Source organism: Homo sapiens, chromosome 12 (genome assembly GCF_000001405.40).
Source record: "Homo sapiens chromosome 12, GRCh38.p14 Primary Assembly".
NCBI classification, from domain to species: Eukaryota; Metazoa; Chordata; class Mammalia; order Primates; family Hominidae; genus Homo; species Homo sapiens.
Window position 1 is genome coordinate 108,541,479 of NC_000012.12, and position 17,618 is coordinate 108,559,096.

The 17,618-nt window shown below is 40.4% G+C and overlaps 1 protein-coding gene across 3 annotated transcripts in view, besides 1 other annotated feature; it reads right to left on the reverse strand.

Annotated features, from left to right (window-relative positions):
* Positions 1–17,618, reverse strand: part of SART3 (spliceosome associated factor 3, U4/U6 recycling protein) — a 38,960-nt gene that overhangs the window by 19,265 nt on the left and 2,077 nt on the right. The window contains exons 2-6 of one of the 3 annotated variants that reach the window (NM_014706.4): positions 7,610–7,736; positions 6,409–6,513; positions 3,661–3,845; positions 2,949–3,000; positions 1,550–1,674 (exon numbers count right to left, since the gene is read on the reverse strand). In NM_014706.4, coding sequence (NP_055521.1) covers positions 1,550–1,674; positions 2,949–3,000; positions 3,661–3,845; positions 6,409–6,513; positions 7,610–7,736 — 594 coding nt within the window. Of the gene's footprint in view, positions 1–1,291; positions 1,367–1,549; positions 1,675–2,948; positions 3,055–3,660; positions 3,846–6,408; positions 6,514–7,609; positions 7,737–17,618 lie in introns of those variants that run through there. The other 2 variants (NM_001410983.1, XM_047429916.1) reach the window with 2 other exon arrangements.
* Positions 7,798–7,867: a silencer, noted in NCBI's record as "silent region_4827". NCBI's record gives its function as "represses an Ori minimal core promoter by ATAC-STARR-seq in GM12878 lymphoblastoid cells {active_cell/tissue: GM12878}" and the evidence as "EXISTENCE:reporter gene assay evidence [ECO:0000049][PMID:35858748]".

Here is a 17,618-nt window from a genome sequence, read left to right on the forward strand (position 1 = left end):
AGACAAAGCACTCCCACAAATCAATTAGAAAAAAGATACATCAAAAGGGAAATGGGTCAAAGACTTTTTTTTTTGAGACGGAGTCTCACACTGTTGCCCAGGCTGGATGGAGTGCAGTGGTGCGATCTCGGCTCACAGCAACCTCCACCTCCCGGCTTCAAGCGATTCCCCTGCCTCAGCCTCCCAAACAGCTGGGATTACAGGCGCCCGCCACCATGCCCAGCTAATTTTTTGTATTTTTAGTAGAGACGGGGTTTCACTATGTTGGCCAGGCTGGTCTCAAACTCCTGACCTCATGATTCACCTGCCTTGGGCTCCGAAAGTGCTGGGATTACAGGCATGAGCCACCCCGCCCGGCCCAGACTTTTTTTTAAGAAATAGGGTTTTGCTTTGTCACTTAGGTGACAATGCAGTGGCATGATTACAGCTCACTGCAGCCTTGACCTCCTGGGCTCAAACAATCCTCCTACCTTCGCCTCTGGAGAAGCTGGGACTACAGACACATGCCACCAAGCCCGGCTTTTTTTTTTTTTTTTTTTTTTTTTTTTTGGTAGAGACAGGGTTGTGCTACGCTGCCAGGCTGATCTCAAACTCCTGGGCTCCAGCAATCCTCCCGCCTTGGCCTCCCAAAGTGCTGGGATTATAGGCATAAGCCACTGTGCCCAGCCTGAACACTTTAACACGCACAAAAATTTGAATGGCCAATCCACGTGAAAAGATGCTCAACTTCATTAGTAACCAAGAAAATACAAATTAAAACTACAATTTCAAATTCATCAAATTAAGTAAAATTTAAGTATGACCAATATCCAAGATTGGCACAAGCAACGAGAACTCTCAGATACTGCTCACAGCAGTGCAAACTGATAACCTGGAAAACACTTTAACATCACCCTATGATCCAGCAAAGTCATTCCTAAGTACGTATTCTAGAGAAACTCTTTTTCATGTGTACAAGGAGATACACACAAGAATGTTCAGAGTGGCGCTGCTCCTTCTCCTAGCAAAAACCTGGAAATGACCCAACTATCCAGCAACATGGATAAATACATCGCAGTACACAGACAACTTTACAGCAGTGAAAACAAATGCACCGGAGTTATACTTAGCAACATGAGTAAAACCCAAAAGCATGTTCAATGAAAATAAAATATACAGCATGATTCCAATATATAAAAGTTCAAAAGCAAGCAAAATTAAACAATATATTAATTAAGGATACTTTCATAGCTTGTAAAACTATAAAGAAAAGCAAGGGAATTATCATCACAAAAGTCAGGAAAGTGATTACCTCTCGGGAGAGGGAGGAGGAGGCAATCGGAGAGGGGCACATAGGAGACTTCTAAGGTACTGGCAATGTTCTATTTCTTAACCTGGGTGGTAGGTACATGGATGTTCACTTTATTATTAGTATGTAAACTGTACGTATACATTTATACACTCTATATATTTCAGAATAAAACATTTTAAAGATACTGTTTAACTCGCAACTATCCATCAGGGAAAGGTTTGTAGAGAGACGTTTACTATAAAAGAAGCCAACACTTACCAGTGCTTCTTCATAGGGTTTATATTTCTCCAGCTGCTGTAGTGCTTTGTTATAGTTCTGAATTACTGACTCTGGTATTGGGTCTTCTGACCATTCTTCATACTCTGCAAATGTGGCCTCCATATCTATTGAAAGATGGATTCAGCCCCGTGGGTCTTGCCATTGGGCTTTATCAACCCAAACACAGATTAAGCCATGAGACTCAGGTGCCACTAGCCCCTCCCACATCTGTGGCATGGCAGCTCTTACTGATCAAATTCTGATTTCTGCTGAGCCCAAACCTGTCTGTAGAATCTGTCTTAAAACAATGTCCCAGGCAACCCTCCCAGCTAATTAATCAGTCAATGACACTAGTGGCAACGATTTAACAACACTTACCCAGTGTTACCTATGTTCTACCACTTCACATCCACTAACTCATTCAGTCATCCCACTCTACAAGGTAGTCTATTGTGATCCTCATTTTGCAGTTGAGGAAACTGAAGCAGAGGGTTCAGTTGCTCGTCTACAGTTAATGGTAGAGCAAGGCTGTGAACCCAAGCAGTCTGGCTCAAGTTCGCACTCTAATCATTATGCTAGGTTGTTTCACGCTGGTAGGTGAAATCTGCAAGCCGGCTCAGCTCTAGTGTTTTCTGCATGATACCCAACCATTTGATTAGACGACTACTTTATAACTTGTTAAATCCAATAAACCATGAAGAGAAATAACATGTGGGCTCCAGTAAAGTTGCCCAGAGGTTCTGAGTATGTACAACACATGCCCGTGTCTAGGGAACAAACACAACAGCCATGACAAACTCTTCCCATACTCAGAAAAATCCTCCCAGCACGCACACACTCATAGCTCCAAAGACTCAAAGGCTTAGATTGCCAAAATGTATTTACCAAATAAGGAAACTCTTTACCAAACCCCAAGAAACTCACTTATGAGTACTTCCAATCAACTGCACTTCTGAACCAAATCCCTCCCATAGAGGAATGATCTAAACTCATGTAAAATTCCTGCTGTTATGGAAGAGGTTACTTGTGAAGAGAAAATGATTATAATGGAACTCTTGTTCAATGAAGTTTCCCCAAAAAATACAGGTGTCATTCACTATTCCTTTCAGAGACCCTATCTCTGCCCTTCCAACTAGGTCTCAAAGGAGAAAAGAGCTCTCACCTGGGAGTCAGGGAGTCTGGCTTCCAGTCCTGCCTCTGACCCTCACAACCCTCTTAAGCACTAACATTCAAGATGTTTTTACCAAGGACCTCATCCAAAGAGACAATATCCAAGGAGAGTAAGAACACCAGCTTTACCTGCCTCACAGGATGGTGGGAAAGGTCTAACTACATGTTGTTCCCCAAAGCATTTTAAAAACCATAGAGGGCTGGCTGTTGACATGTCAGTTTCTCTTACCATAGAGTGGGATCGCCAACTGTCGCCGGAAAAGACTGTGGACTTTCTCAAGCTGTGAATCAAAGGTTTGTTCCCGGTCAAAAGGGGAAAGGAAGCCAGCTACGGGCTAAAGAAGCAAATTAGTAGTAAATGACAAACTGTGGTTCTTTCTTTTTCTTTTGAGAAGGGTTCTTGCTGTCACCCTGGCTGGAGTGTGGTGGTGTGATCACAACTCACTACAGCCTCACACTCCAGGCTCATGCAATCCTCCCACCTCAGAGTCCTGAGTAGCTAGGACCACAGGCATACGCCATCATGCCCAGCTAATGTTTTAGTTCTTGTAGAGATGGGGACTCACTACATTGCCCAGGCTGGTCTTGTACTCCTGAACTCAAGTGATCCTCTGGCCTCAGCCTCCCAAACTGCTGGAATTACAAGCATGAGCCACCGCACTTGGCCAACTCTGGTTCTTTCTACTTCAAAAAATATCTCAACAAATTTTCAGTTCAAGCTAAAAAAATTTATACGACCTCTTCCATACATATTGTACCAAATGCTAGAAGGGGTATAAAAAAAGGTTATCTATCACCCCACCACTAAGGGATTGGCAAAGACCATTTTGTTAACTATATGAACTGCAAGATTCATCATGGACATGTGTTTCAAAATAATCCTTCCAAGGAGACTTACAAAGACAGCCCCAACCCGTTCAGAGACAACCACAGGTACTCACCCGAGCAGCTTCCACAATCGCACTTTCAAACTCTCGGTAAGCCTCCCAGAGGGCGAGTCCTTTGGTCATATGTAAACCAACAGACGAGAGAGCCCTTTCAAACACGGAGCGAACTTTCTCAAGGCCACCTTTCTGACCAATCCCACCAACTGAGTACTGGCCATACTCTAGCCAAATGTTAGGACCTAAAAATAAGAAGTGTTCAATTAGTTTGGGATATAAAATACCCAAATATCAAAACTGATGCATAACAAACGAAATGTGCCTACCAAAAAAGTACTCAGACAGCAGCACTAAATGACAGTGAAGGCCTAACAGCAGAGATGACCATAAAGGACTAAAAAACATTACAGTCTGGGGAAGACCATAGATCCTCAGAAAAAGATAAATGGTGCTATTAACAATGCCTGTGAGAGAGTAAGAAGGGGGTAACAGGATCATCAGAAATCATGGGAACACCATGCACTGCTAAAATTATCAGTGGCTCTAAAAGAAGACTCATGGGCCACAGAGCAGAGATACAGGTATAGTTTTTAAAAACACATTTGGCCAGGTGCGGTGGCTCACGCCTGTAATCCCAGCACTTTGGGAGACTGACGTGGGAGGACCACAAGGTCAGGAGATCGAAACCAGCCTGGCCAATATGGTGAAACCCCGTCTCTACTAAAAATAGAAAAATTAGCCAGGCGTTGTGGCAGGCACCTGTAGTCCCAGCTACTCAGGAGGCTGAGGCAGGAGAATCGCTTGAACCTGGGTAGGGGGGAGGTTGCAGTGAGCCGAGATCACACCACTGCACTCCAGCCTAAGCGAAAGAGTAAGACTCTCTCTCAAAAAAAAAAAAAAAAACACACATATAATATAGTTTTATATTCATAAAACACCGCTTATTTTCATTATTCAGATTATAAACCAAAAAACTGTGAATTCTTCTTGGCTTGTAAAGATACACAAAAAATTCTCTATCATCTCAGAACAGTCTATCTGGTTAGTAGCAATGCTTCTCACAGGGGGACTGCTCCCATTGGGAAATCAACAAGGAAGAGGGTACGAAATCTGAAAGGGGAAATTGTTTGTTTGTTGAGACACAGTCTCGTTCTGTCGCCCAGGCTAGCGTGCAGAGGCATGATCACGGCTCACTGCACCCTCTACCTCCTGGGTTCAAGCAATTCTCCTGCCTCAGCCTCCCAAGTAGCTGGGACAACAGGAGCATGCCACCACGCCTAGCTAGTTTTTTGTATTTTTAGTAGAGATGGGGTTTCACCGTGATAGCCAGGATGGTCTCAATCTCCTGAACTCGTGATATACCTGCCTCAGCCTCCCAAAGTTCTGGGATTACAGGCGTGAGCCACTATGCCCAGTCTGAAAGGGGAAATTTTTTTAATGCTTTTTTTTTTTTTTTTGAGACAGAGTCTCACTTTGTCGCCAAGGCTGGAGTACAGTGGCACAATCTCGGCCCACTGCAACCTCCGCCTCCTGGGTTCAAGCAATTTTCATGCCTCAGCCACCTGAGTAGCTGGGATTACAGGCCTGCATGCCACCCCGCCCGGCTAATTGTATTTTTAGTGGAGATGGGGTTTTCCCCATGTTGGGCAGGCTGATTTCGAACTCCTGGGCTCAAGGGATCCGCCTGCCTCAGTCTCCCAAACTGCTGGGATTATAGGCATAAGCCACCATGCCTGGCCTTAAAATGCTTTTTTTTGAGACAGAATCTTGCTCTGTTGCCCAGGCTAGAGTGTAGTAGCACAACCTCAACTCGCTGCAACCTCCACTTCCCAGGTTCAAGCAATTCTCCTGCCTCAGCCTCTTGAGTAGCTGAGATTACAGGTACGTGCCACCATGCCTGGCTAATTTTTGTATTTTTAGCAGAGACGGGGTTTTGCCATGTTGGCCAGGCTGGTCTTGAACTCCCGACCTCAAGTGATCCACCAGCCTTGGTCTCCCAAAGTTCTGGGATTACAGGCGTGAGCCACCACACCCAGCCTTAAAACGCTTTTTAAAAGCATTTTGTCCACAGCATTGTCTGATGTGGTCCCCAATTCACATGGAGAAAATATTTAAGACAATTATACTATATACAAGGGACGGTAAAGAGACTTAAAGGGAGGTGAGTCTTCTATACTTCACTTGCACTGGTAAGATGTCAATACCAGCAGGCGAGGGAGGTCTCTGTGGGGACAGAACAGCTCTGTATCTGGACTGCAGCAGTGGTTAGATGAATCTACACATGTAATAAAATGTCTTTTTTTTCCCATTGTTCCAAGGTCAATTTCCTGGTTTTGATTTTGTATTACAGAAACAAGATATTGGAGGAAACTGGGTGAAGGGAGTACACAAGACTTCTCTGTACTATTTCTGCAACTTCCTATGACTCTATAATTACTTCAAAATAAAAAGGTTTTCTTTTAATGTTTTAATCTTTTTTTTTAAAGCATCCTGTCCAAAACCTCTAAAAACCTATTGAATGTATAAAAGATCAGTGGAAATACCATGTAAGTTCTCACTGTCAATAAATCCTGAGTGTGAGTGTATTCATTCCCTTACTACAAGTGCTTCTTCCACTTTTATTTTAAAATTAAACTTCCTCAATTAAAGACCAAAGACAATGATAAGACAACTCAACTTAAATCTTGCTAATTGTGAAACTAACGTTCCCTTTTCTGGGTAGCAACATCTCATAATACAGTCCTCAACAGCAGACTGATATATATGACATTGCCAGATATCCAAAAAAAGTCCACGGGAACTTACAAATGTAATCCTTCACGGCTTTCTCAAAGAGGTCATACACGTGCTCTCTGTCCAGGCCATCCTGGGCCATGCTGATCTCGTCATGCAGCCACTCCAGCCAGAGCTCTACGAGACAAAAATACTTCCCGCATTAATACCAAAGGGTAGGCTAAGCGCAGGGACTTTACCAAGAGACATCAGCATGCAAACGTTTCATCCATCTTACACAACCTGGCGTTGTTTCCAGAAATTCACTTCTTAAAACCTGAACTAAGCACATAGGAGGTTTTATGCTTCCAAATAAGATCAAATCACTAAAATCATAATATCCTCCACCTGTTAGGCATTTTATATTTTGCAAAGCACTTTTCTCATTCAGTCTTTATCACAATCCTGTAAGGTTGGTGATAGTAACACTAATAATAATGACATCTATCTAAGGATGACAACATGCCAGGCATGTGTTAAGTGTTATACGTAGAATAGCTCATCCTATACCGTCATACATTACAATGCAGAAACTACTGTTGCCATCATTTAACTGCTAGAAAAACTGAGTCTTAGAATGTTTACATAATTTGCTTAAGGTCACACAGCTAGTAAAAGATGTAGCCAGGAATGAATCTAGGTCACCTGACTCCAGCATCTACACTCGGCAGTTATGCTTTGCAGAAGGGAAAAGGGGCAGAGTGGGATCTAGGACCAAAGTGTTCTAAGTACTGCCCAAAGATCACTTATTAATATTCATGAAGATTGAACTACAGAGTTGTTCAGTGCAATTATGTTTCTAATAAGCAAATAAGTAGAAATAACCTAAATGCCCAACTATTCTGGAACAATTAATGTATGAAACATTTACATAAAAAACTGTCTGTAAAAGTTTAAATATATTTACAATTTTCTGGTTTCAAGAGAATGGTTTAAATACATAAATAGTGAAATGGGAAATACAGAAATGAAAGCCAAGTTTAATTACATTACAAATGTTTACCACAACGTTAGAATAAAGAAATCAGAATTCAAAATCCGTGTTATATGATCATAACTACATTTTGCAAAAAACTACAATAAACTAAAAATAGCTAACTCTGATGCGTTTTCTTCTTTCCACTACACTGAACGTTCCAGGTTTTCTACAAGGAGCATGTCCCACTTTCAACATTGTAAAAAATGTGCAAGCCTTGTTTCTGTTTCTAAAAGCAGCCTGACTGCTGAAGCTTACCTTCAGTCAAGGGAAAGATTTCACTCATCTTCTGGCGGGCCATCCTCACCTTGGTAAGCTCCCCTTCCAGCCTGAGCAGTCTGATCAAGTCCACATGGCAGTTGTAGTCATAGACGTTGATAGACAACTAACAGGAAAAGAAACAAGTTGAAATTTAAAACACCGTCATCAAGTAACTTAGCTTTTGTCACTACTGGTAACTACACATATACCTGCCACAAACAAAATAAACGTGCTATCTGAGAAAACCACTGAAACAGCAACCCAGCACGTACCCACAGGTAGAAGACAAAACAATAAAAGAGGCTTTTGTAACAAACATAAAGCTCCCTCAAATCTGTTACAGTTCCTGTTAGAAGACATTTGGGTTCTCTTGGAAATAAAGGAGGCATTCTAATGAAACAAATAAAAAGTATGTGACCTTAGGTAAGTTATTTACTTTCCTAAGCTCTATTTCCTCATCTATAAAATGAGGACACTACTAGTTTCTAGCTCATACCAGGTCTTCCAAGGATTTAAAAAATTTCTACTGTTACACTGGTCTTTAAGAAAAACTAAAAAATAAAAAGGTAATTTCATAACGTCCTTTAGCACATGTGAGGTACACTGTAAGACCTCTTTTATTTTACTAAATAAAAAAGATGGAAGCCAGTTGTGGTGGCTCACATCTGTGATCCCAGCACTTTGGGAGGCCGAGGCAGGTGGATTGCTTGAGCTCAGGAGTTCGAGACCAGCCTCAGCAACACAGTCAAACCCTATCTCTACCAAAAATACAAAAAATTAGCCAGACATGGTGGCATGCACCTGTGGTCCCAGCTACTTGGGAGGCTGAAGTGGATCACCTGAGCCTGGGAGACAGAGGTTGCAGCGAGCCGAGACCACACCACTGCACTCTAGGCCTGGGTGACAGAGCAAGACCCAATCTCAAAAAAAAAAAAAAAAAAAAAAAGATAGAAATCCCTATTAGAGAAACAAGAGTGGCAGCAGGTTGGTATCTGTTGATGCTGAGTGACAGGTACATAAAGTTTTATTTGTACATTTGAAACTTTTCAAACTAAAATTATTTTAAGTTACCATATATCTGAGACAAAGAAAAATGAAAAAAATGTCACTAGCAGACCTACCCTTGAAGAATAGCTAAAGGAAGTTCTTCGAACAGAAAAGTTAGAAGAAGGAATCCTAAAGCATCAAAAAGGAAGAAAGAACAGGAAGAGCAGAAATACGGGAACTACGACAGATTATCCTCCTCTCCTCATGAGCTTTCTAAATCATATGTAATGGAACAAACATTGTAAGAACTTCTGATACCCAACACAGTATTATTTAAAAGTGGGGATGGAAAGAGAACTGAAATGGAAGATTCCCTCACTTCATTCAAGTGGTAAAACACGGATACCATGTAAGTCAACTCCGTATATTTTAATACCCAAAGCAACCACTGAGAAAACTATTCAAAGCAATTACACTAAAAATCACCTTAAATAAATCAAGATGGCTGGGCATGGTGGCTCACACCTGTAATCCCAGCACTTTGGGAGGCCAAAGCGGGCAGATCATGAGGTCAGGAGTTCAAGACCAGCCTGGCCAACATGGTGAAACCCTGTCTCTACCAAAAAATACAAAAAATTAGCTGGGTGTGGTGGCACATGCCTGTAGTCCAGCTACTCAGGAGGCTGAGACAGGAGAATTGCTTGAACCCGGGAGGCGGAGGTTGCAGTGAGCAGAGATCCAGCCTGGGTGACAAAACAAGGCTCCATCTCAAAAAAATAAATAAATAAATCAAGATGAAAATCTAAAAAATATTCAAATAATCCACAGAAAGGCAAGAAAGGAGAAACAGAAGAATGAGAAACAGAAAATAAACAGAAAATAGTAAAACGGCAGGCTTTGGTCTGAATAAACCAACAATTGCCTTAAATGCGAATGGTGCATATATGCTAATTAAAAGGTAGATAATGGTAGAGTGGATAAAAACACAACCCAACTATATGGTGAGTACAAGAAATTCATTTCAAATTCAAAGACACAGGTAAACTGGTTGAAAGGAAAAGGAGAGAAAAAGATAACATGCAAGCATTAATTAAAAAGTTGAAGCGGACATATTAATATCACATAACGTACACTTCAGAGCAAAGAAAATTACTAGAGATAAAAAGGATTATATAATGACACATAATAATAAATAGATCAATCTACCAGGAAGACATAACAATCCTAAATGTGTAGGAACCAAAGAGCGCTTGAAAATTCATGAAGCAAAAACTATTACAGAGCTCAAAGAGACACAGCAGCAATTACATTTGGCAACTTCAACATCTCCCTTTTCAGCAACTGATAAAACTACTAGACACTTGAATATGTTGAACCTGGTCAAAAAGAAGATGAATAAAAGAAAAAGAAAATTAGACAAAAGCAAATTAAAAAATTTTTAAGTTTTTAAAAAGAAAGGAAATTGTTTAATTTTTTTTTAAACTAGGCAGAACAGGGTTATAGAAGAACTCAATAACGCCGTCAACGAACATGACCTAATTTATATAGAGAACAGCCCACCCAACAATACAGAATATGTATTTTTCTCAAGTACTTACGGAACATTCACTGAAGCCATATCCTTGGCCATAAAACAAACCTCAACAATTTAAGAGAAATGAAAACCATGCAGAGTATGTTTTGTGACCACAATGGAATCAAATTAGAAACCACTAACAGTAAGAAAATCTCTGAACACGTGAAAATTAAGTAATACACTTCTAAATAATCTGCAGGTCAAAGAGGAAGTCTCCAAGAAAATTTACAAATTAAAAAAAGTGAATGAAAATGAAATTGCAACAAATCAAAATAAGTAGGATGCTACTAAAACAGTACGGAGGAAAATTTAAAGAACTAAATTCAGTGTATAAGAAGAATTATACACCATGACCAAGTGGTATTTATTCCAGGTTTGCAAGGCTAATTCAACATTTAAAAATCAATTACTGTAATCCAGTGTATCAAAAGGCTAAAGAAAACTCATGGTATCAATAGATGCAGAAAATGCATGTGACAAAATCCAACAACGATTCATGGTTAAAACACTCAGCATGTTAGGAATAGAGGGAAACAACCTCAACCTGATAAAGAGCATCTATAAAAAATCTATCCCATAAGTTGGGATATAGGGTTACCTTAACATCATTCCTAATGGTAAAAGATTGAACACTTTCCTCCTAAAATCAAGAACAAGGCAAGGATGTCTGCTCTCACCACTCTTTTCCAACAAAGTCCTATAAGTTCTAGCCTGTTCAATAAGACAAGGAAAAGAAATAAAAGCTATACAGCTCGGAAAAATAAAACTGTCCTGATTTGTAGATGATATGGCTAAGTAGACAATCTTAAGGAACCAATTAAAAAAAAAAAAAACTCCAAAAATAGTGAACTGAGCAAGGTCACAGAATATAAGATAAACATACAAAAACAAAAAAAAAAACAAAAGAACATGTGGAAACCAAATTTAAAGACATAGCACCATTTACAATCACTCCAAAAAACCTAAATAATTAGGTGTATATTTAAAAAGTTTACAAAATCTGTATGCTGAAAATTACAAAATGCTGAGGAAAGAAATCAAAGACCTAAAAAAAGAGACACTTCATGTTCATGGATTGAAAAACTCAACATAGTCAAGAAGTAAATTCTCCCTAAACTGACTTACAGGCTTACTGAAACTCCAATTAAAATCCCAACAAGGTTTTTTGTAGACCTAGACAAGCTTATTCTAAAATGTATATGGGATGGCAGAGGCCCTAGAATAGCTAAAAATGATCTTGAAAAAGAATAAAGTGGGAGTAATCACTCTACCTGATTGATACTAAAACCTACAATACAGCTACAATCATCAAGGCAGTGTGAGAATGGCAGAAAGATACATAGATGAAGAGAATAGAACCCAGTAACAGACCCACACAAATATGCCCAAATAATTTTTGACAAACGCAATGCAACAGAGGAAAAAAAAAGGCATTTTCAAAAAATGATGCTGGAGCAAATGGATATCCACAGGCAAAACAAATAAATACACCTTGACCTAAACTTCACGCCTTACAGAAATAACTCAAAATGGATCACACTTAAATGTGAAATGTAAATATAACATCACAAAATGTTAGGACAAGAGAAAAATTTCAAGGCAACATCAAGGATCCTTAAGGTGACAGAACTGATCTGTATCTTGACTATATCAATGTCAATACCCAGGTTATTACATATTATAGTTCCTCAAAGTGTTATCATTGAGGGAAACTGGGTAAAAAGTACACGAAAAATCTCTATTATTTCTTACAAGTGCATGGAAATCTACAATTATCTCAAAATAAAAAGGCGAATTGTTTAAAAAGCTTTTGTTGGGATATAGGGATAATTTAAGTCTGTACACCAAGACTTCATTAGTATCTACTCTTCCAACATCTGCCACATTTTAGGAATATTTCCCTCTCCAGAGATAAAAGATTACCTACACTTCATTCAAATTACACTCTACCATCTGACAACATACCCTAATAATCCAGGTACTAGATATTTAATTAAAATACAGAAAGACAGCCAATGAATATGATTACTTGAACTTTAGGATAAAAATCTTAACAATGAAGTAGCCAGTGAACCTTTAAATGGAGTGGGGACAAGGACCAACCATTCAGAGAATACAAATATGAAGGATTACGGGGTTTTGTTCAAGTGTTTAGATTTTAAACAAGAACTCATTATCTTTCTCTACTAATTATAATAGTAAAACCCTTCCATGGCTTCCCAGTATCCTAGGAACAATTTGCAAATCCCTGCCTCATGTGCAATCCCAGCATGCTGGGCTCATCTCTCCAGCTACATCTCAAACCACCGGCCTCTCAACATGGCAGCCAGCTTCGTGTAACTCAAACATTCCAACGTCTCTCCAACCTCAGGGCTAGGCACCTGCTGCTCCTTCAGCCCAGAAGGATCTCTCACCTTCTCTCTGCCTAGCCACCCCTTTTCATACTTCAGGTATAAACTTCACTTCCTCAGAGGGCGCCCCCGGCCCCCCTCCTATGCCACTCTTTCTTAAGTAGCCCCCTATATGCTGCAAGCTGTTTTCCATCTCATCATCGTGTTTATTTCCATCATGACCTAAAGGCTTCATGGGATAAGTACCTTGTATGTCTTATCCTTGACTTGGTTAGATTCTTTACCTACCTGGCACACAGAATTCAATAAATTACATGTCAATCTCACTCAAGAGCATTAATACAAAAATCCTAAATAAAATATTAAAAAATCAGAAATGTATAAAGAGAACAATACATAATGATCAATTTGGGTCTATCCCAGGAATGCAAGGGTGTTTTTACACTACAAAATCATCCAGTATAATTTTTCCACCATCAGATTTGAGGGAAAAAAACATGATTACCTCAATGAAGAAATAGCATTTGATTAAAACATCCATTCATGAGTCAAAATTAAGAATTAGCAAACTAGGAATAGAAAGGCACTTCCTTAACCTGATTTTTAAAATCTGCAATAAATATATTTTAATAACATATTTATATATTTATTATATTGTTTATTATATATTTATATATTTATATTTAGTAAATTTAATAATACATTAAAATTCCTTTTAAAAAACACAAAAAACTTCCCAGTATTGCCTTCTATTTAACCCTGTACTGGAGGTCTGGGGTTTTAACAATGAGACAAGGAAAAGAAACAGATATAGAGAAAAGAATGAGAACTGTTAATTATGGTCAGATGATATCAATGTATAGTAAACCAAAACTCATCTACAAACAAATCATTTGGAAATAATAAACAAGATTAGCAAAGTGACAAGCAATAAGAGCAATGTATAAAAATCAATTATATACAAAGAGACAAATACTGTATGATTCCACTTATATGAAGTATCTAGTCAAATTCATAGAGACAGAAAACTACAATGGTAGTTATCAGGGGATTGGGAAGGAAGGAGAAGGAGAGCTGTTTAATTGGTAGAGTTGTATATATGCAAATGAAAACTTTGGAGATCTGCTTCACAACAATGTGACTATACTTAACACTACTGAACCATACACTTAAGAATAAGATAGCAAAGTTTACGTTATATGTTTTTTACAATAAAAAAATTACATTTCTATAAACCAGCAAGCTTTAAAATGTAATTTTAAATAGGATAGCATAAACATCAAGCACTATAAAGTACCTAGAAATACATCTAACAAAAGATGTGTGAGACCTCTATGGCAAAATGTTTTTAAACTTGATTGAAAGATATTAAAGACTTGGCCGGGGGCGGTGGCTCACACCTGTAATCCCAGCACTGTGGGAGGCCGAGGCAGGCAGATCACTTGAGTCCAGGAATTCAAGACCAGCCTGGGCAACAGGGCAAAACCCCGTCTCTACAAAAACTGTAAAAATTAGCTGAGTCTGGTGGCACATGCCTGTGGTCCCAGCTACTCGAAAGGCTGAGGTGAAAGGATCGCTTCAGCCCAGCAGGCGGAGGTTGCAGTGTGCTGAGATCATGCCACTGTACTCCAGCCTGGGAAACAGAGCAGGACCATGTCTCAAAAATAGAAAGAATATTCAATACCTAGACGAATGGAGTTATATGCATGTTCTGGGTTAGAATAATCATTATGGCAAAGACGTCAATTCTCCCCTAAATAATCCATAAATTCAATGCAATTCAAATAAAAAAACCAACAGGGTTTTTCACAGACCTTGACAAAATAATTCTAAAATTTATATGAAAGAGCCAAAACACCCTGCAAGGAAAGAAAAAAAGCAGGTAGGAGGATTTGTCTTACCAGATAGCAAGCCTTAGCAATAAGTTAATCAGTGGAATTGGCACAGGATAGACAAACTGAAGAGAGAGCCCAAAACAGACCCATGCAGTTGAAAAACACTATGGCTCAGGTGGCACTTGCTGTTTCAGCTAAAATAAATTCACAACCTATGACTATGACCCCCAGGTTGAAAAACAGTGACTTTGAGAAACTCTCTTTTTTTTTTTTTGAGTCAGGGTCTCACTCTTACCCAGGCTGGAGTGCCGTGGCAGTCACAAATCACTGCAGCCTCAAATTCCCAGGCTCAAGTGATCCTCCCGCCTCAGCCTCTTGAGTAGCTGCTACTACAAGCTCATGCCACCACACATAGCTAAATGTTTTAAATTTATTTTTTGTAAACACAGGGTCTCACCATCTTGCCCAGTCTGGTCTCAAACTCCTGGGCTCAAGGGATCATCCTGCCTCAGCCTCCCAAAATGCTAGGACTACAGGTGTGAGCCACTGCATCTGGTGAGAAACTCTTGTACATGATGTGAACTGCTTTGTATTTATCAAATTACATGCCAAAAGATAATAATCAATTACAGATAAGAACATGATCTCTAAGTTTTAAATCTTAAGACTTTTAGCAATGTTCTCCTGCTTATGATTCATAAAACCTGAGAAGCTGAACTCATCCGATGATCACACGATAGGCTGAAAAGCACTGGACCAGATCAGGACACAAGTGTTCTAATCCCCACTTGTTCTGTTTCCTCATCTGTACCATGAAAGAGCTGGGCTAAAGCTCTGGTTCTTAAATGGGCTATCATGACACACTGATGTTTCAAAATCACCTATCAAGTGTGTCACACAAAGTAACCGCAGTTTGGGATGTTTGAGAAGTGAAGTTTGAGAAGGATACACTTTCTTCATTAAAGAACATTCAAGGCTCTCCCCACCACATCACCAGTCTGAACTCAATAGAGTGTGCTTGCGGAGCACAAACAGGAGTGGGAGAGCACTTGCTAGTCAGTGTCACGAATATCTATGCATGCAAGTGCCCCTCACATGAACACCATGTGTGGATCAGCAGAAGAAAAAGGTATAAAAGTCGCTAAAGTCAAGAAGCTGACTTTTAAGGTGTGGCTTTTGGTGTAAACTTCTGATTTTTAGGGTAAAATGATGAAGATACTATATGTGGACAAGTACTCTGAAAGTACATATATTAAATACATACTGAAATGCACTTAAAAGAGCTATTTCCACATAGTTCAATCTATACTGATAAATGAGTACATATGCTGGTCTATTCTGGTCTTAGAACATCATTAATGACATAGTTTTTTTTTTTTTTTTTTTTTTTTTGAGGTGGAATCTTGCTCTGTCACCCAGGCTGGAGTGCAGTGGTGTGATCTCAGTTCACTGCAACCTCTGCCTCCCGGGTTCAGGCGATTCTCCTGCCTCAGCCTCCCGAGTAGCTGGGATTAACAACATAGATGCTTTAAAGGAAACTTAACCAATCACAAAATGATCTGCTAACTGATTTAACTCCCTAGCAATGTGAAAAATGTGTTATACCTAGCTGTACTAGAATGGGGGAGAAATAATAGAGAGGACTGATGGAAAGAAAACAACTGGTGCAATCAAAGGCAGGGAAGGGAGAATGGAGCAGCACCTATTATGCGCCAAACTGTGCCAGGCGCTTTACGCACATTGTGCCATGCCCCACAACAGTCCCATGAGGAAAGCACTATTACAACCTTCATTTTACTAACTGGGACACCCAAGACTCTGCGAGCTGAAATAACTTGTACAAGGCCTTTCCACTACTCAATGGAAGGCTTGGGTTCAGGGTTGCAAAGCCATAGTCTCCGTACTGCTGCACTGACAAATCTGCCGAAGCCACCATGAAGTGCCACTTTTAATTTCAGCGCACAAACACATATAATGGAAAATATTTGCTTTTGTTAGACAGATACCACAGCAAACTGCCAGCTACCATAAAATATAATCAAGGCCACGTGCAGTAGCTTGCGCCTGTGATCCGAGCACTTTGGGAGGCTGAGGCAGGAGCATCACTTCAGCTCAGGAATTCAGCACCTGCCTGGGCAACATAGTAAGAACCCATCTCTACAAAAAAAAAATATTTTTAATTAGCCAGGCATGGGGGTGCATGCCTGTAGTCCGAGATACTTTGGAGGATGAGCTGGGAGGATCACTTGAGCCTGGGAGGTCCTAGCTGCAGTGAGCCATGATCACACCACTACTCCAGCATGGGCAAGAGTGAGATGCTCTCAAAAAAAAAAATTAATAAACACTGAGGGATGAGAACCAGAACTCTCAAATATGGCAAGGCCAAGTTTCTCACAGACCTATTTGGAAGCAATTCATCATTATGCTCCGCCATAAAAGCAGTTACAGCAGGAAGAAGCAGCTGTGGGATCAGGATGAGGTGGGTGGGAGGCTTGGAGAAACTGGACAAGTCCATTTCTAGACCACAGGACAAAGAGGATAAGGCCAGAGGGTCTTCAGTTCATCACTTGCCAGGTCCTATCCTGTGTGGTCCATTCTAAACTCCACCCCATCCTTGGTGATCTGTGGCAGGACAGGCAACTGCAGAGTACTAGTGGCCAGAGACCTCTGCTCTCCCCTTTCTTGCTCTTTAGCAAGCTGTGTACCCTCACCAAGGACTTAACCTCTCTGGTCCCAAACCTCTCTTTCCCCACCTCACAGAATAGGCTCATCGAAAGGCCCAGGACTAGCAGTCTGAAGAAATGACATCAACAAGGGCAGGGACACAGTCAATCTGGTACCCAGTGTCACGCTGTGTTTGCTGAATGAGTAAGACTAAATTAGCTTCAGCACACTTATTTATAAAAAGTAGAGGGCAGGCGCGGTGGCTCACGCCTGTAATCCCAGCACTTTGGGAGGCCGAGGCGGGCGGATCACGAGGTCAGGAGATCGAGACCATCCTGGCTAAAACGGTGAAACCCCATCTCTACTAAAAATAGTAAAAATTAGCCGGACTTGGTGGCGGGCGCCTGTAGTCCCAGCTACTCGGGGGGCTGAGGCAGGAGAATGGCATGAACCCGGGAGGCGGAGCTTGCAGTGAGCCGAGATCGTGCCACTGCACTCCAGCCTGGGCCACAGAGCAAGACTCCGTCTCAAAAAAGAAAAAAAAAAAAAAAAAAAAAAGTAGAAATGCTAACCACCTGCCAACCCCAACAGGT